This window comes from Homo sapiens, chromosome 17, assembly GCF_000001405.40.
Source record: "Homo sapiens chromosome 17, GRCh38.p14 Primary Assembly".
In the NCBI taxonomy this organism is placed as follows: Eukaryota; Metazoa; Chordata; class Mammalia; order Primates; family Hominidae; genus Homo; species Homo sapiens.
In genome coordinates, this window is record NC_000017.11 from 41314698 (window position 1) to 41317542 (window position 2845).

General features: G+C 49.5%; 1 protein-coding gene across 1 annotated transcript; it reads right to left on the reverse strand.

The window, feature by feature from the left end:
• Positions 1–214: 214 nt before the first annotated feature.
• KRTAP17-1 (keratin associated protein 17-1) lies at positions 215–1013 on the reverse strand. The gene has a single exon (NM_031964.2). It carries the CDS (start codon positions 951–953, stop codon positions 636–638), a length of 318 nt encoding a protein of 105 aa, NP_114170.1. The 5' UTR covers positions 954–1013; the 3' UTR covers positions 215–635.
• Between the last annotated feature and the right edge of the window lie 1832 nt (positions 1014–2845).

A 2845-nucleotide genomic window follows, 5' to 3' on the forward strand; every position in this document is an offset into this window, starting at 1 on the left:
GTTAAAAACACAGATTCCCAGGCCACACTTTGGTGGATTCTGATTCTGTATGTCTTAGGGAGGGCCTCAGAGTCTCCAGTTTTAACAAGCTCCCAGGTGATTCCGACGCAGGTGATCCAAAAACCACAATTCAAAAACCCTAAGGCAGATGCCAGAGTGAATTTTTCTAACCCAGTCCTCAGCAGGGAGGTCAAGGAAGAGGCAAGAGAACTAATTAGGTTATGCCAGCATGCTCAAATTTATTAAGAGGCTCACAAAGAAGATGGACCTTTTTTGCATCTCAAAGCTGCAGAAAGCCAGGGCGGAGGATCAGTCCCAAAGACACCTTGAAGAAGAGGATGTCTTATAGTACAAGACATTGAACTTCATGTGAATAAGTAAAGTATTGGGGATTCACCCTTGAGCTTGGGATCACTTAGTTGTGACCGAGTTTTAATGTTTCATCAGAGTATGGCTCTTGTTCTCGGTGCCTTGAAATACCAGAGAAGGTGTTGGAGAACAAGCCCTCCTCTACAAATCACAGAAAGACAAGACACTGTCTTGGGGGTATGGAAGGTTCTGGACACGAGGGGCTGTCCCCCTGGAGCAGATGGAGGCTTTCGGTGGGACTGCATCAGTGGTGGAGGGAAAGGTCTTCATTTTGTGTCGCATATAGGTGTGGGCTGGCAGCACACAGGCCCACAGCACCCGGAGCCGCAGCAACTGGACCCACAGCAACTGGATCCACAGCAGCCACCCCCGCAGCCTCCGCAGCCTCCACAGCCTCCGCAGCCAGATCCACAGCAAGACGATCCGCAGCAGCTGCCCCCGCAGCCAGAGCCCCCGCAGCCAGAGCCCCCACAGCCACAGCAGGAGCCGCAGCAGCCACAGCAGCCCGGCTGACAGCAGCACTCTTCACAGCAGTTTTGCTCCTGGGTGCAGCAGGTGAAGCAGTCCCCCGGGCAGCACCCCATGGTCCGGGCCCGTCAGCTCGCAGGTCGGTAACGCAGCCGGAGTTCCCCACGACTGACGGTGGCCAGCCATCTGGATGGCAGCTTTTATATCCCCTCACCCAGGCATGAGGGACGGGATGTTTTCTTTGTTATTATTTATGCAAGTTTCCATAAGACCGGCTCATTAACTGGCTGTTTATTTTCCAGTCCTGAGTACCTCAACTCATAAAAACGCCCCACTCCTGCCAACTGCTGTTTATCCAGAGGGTAAAAATACATCTTCGAAAAGACCTGTCATCATGGCCAAGCATCTGCCAGCTGTCATTAGCCCAGGTTGGAGATGGGAAGGGGAAGCCGGCCACAGCTTCTGGCTCTGGAATGAGGGGCTTGCCTTCCACATCTTCGCAGGTTGGCGATGGACCCCATCTTCCATGGATGCTAGTCCTGGAAAGGCAGACCGGCAACAGCCGAATGCTCTGTTCCCCCTGACACCAGTGGAGGCTACTGAGAACGCCTGGTCACGTGGCTCCTCCCAGGTGGAAATGGCATCCTCATCCCGGTTCATGTGAGCCAGGCAAATGTTTGTGTCTGTGTGTGGTATGGGGAGTGTGCCACACGTTTAGGCTTGGCCGGTGAGCATCAGTCATGAGTAATAACTGCCCTGTGAAACCGAGAGAGACTCATCGTAAAGCTGCAAGAAGCTGGTAAGGCATGGTCTGTCTCGGCGGCAAGGTGAGCTGAATATTCGCACTTCTCTCTAAATAGGTGGGAAGAACTGAGATCAGAACCCTCTACCCACCCCCACTCCAGCCCCAGGCCTTTCCTTGACCGGGGAAGGAAGAGATGCAGGAGGAGGAAGAAGAGGAGAAGGGGAGGAAGAAAGGAAAGAAGAAAAGAAAGAAGAAAGCAGGAAGGAGATCAGTAAATATCCAAAATGCTACATTAAAATGGGAATGTAACGCACTTTTTTTAAGAGTTCGAACCTTATAGACCATCTGGCAGAAGGAGAAATTAGAATACAAAATACCCAGAGTGTCATCCCAAGGAATAAAATGCCTTTGCAAGGAGTCTAAAATCTACAGATGGTTCAGGTCCATGTGTAAATTTTGAGATGGGTCAAAATTTCTGTCTCTTTCTTGGACTTTGGTACCTTGTTCTCCTCTTGGAGTGCCCATGGCAGCCCTGGAGCTGGAATACAACATCTAGTAGGGGTAGAGGACAGAAGATAGGGGTGGGGTGGGAATGGAAGGAGGGATGGGAGTAAGGATCTGGATCAAGGGATCTAGTCCTTCCCTTTTCATTTCCCTTTCTTTGTAAGATGGGCTAGAAGTAAGACAGCCTCTAAGAAGGGCTAGAAGAACTAAGGACAGGGTGGGAGTCGGGAGGGTAAATGATGAATGAGTTACTTGGATCTGATATGATACTCAATACTTCACAGGATATGGAATTTTAGAGCTGGGAGGAACCCCTGAAACATCATCTGGTCCAGGGTTTTATATCAGAATTGCCTAAAAGGGGGCCTTTTGAAAAATACAGATTCCCAAACTGTATTCCAGTCCTTATGATAAATCAGAATGTGTGCTTATGAGAGCTTGAGAAGCTATATATTTTAAACTTTCTCAGGTAACTTGGGTTACATTAGGAAACACTGATATAATCTAATCCTATCATGACCATCACTGCCAAGCACTTGTGTTTTACAGAAGATGATACCAAGGCCCAGAGATGACACATCCGTGGTAGATTGGACCCATGGCCCAGATGTTCTCCCTCCTGGTCCACTGTTTCTTCCACCATACCACATCCACAGATGGGCACCTCTGAGTGAGTATAATACAGCAATGTCTATGGCAGACGTGTCCTTTTTTGTTTGTTTGTTTGTTTTTTTGAGATGGAGTCTCACTCTGCTGCCC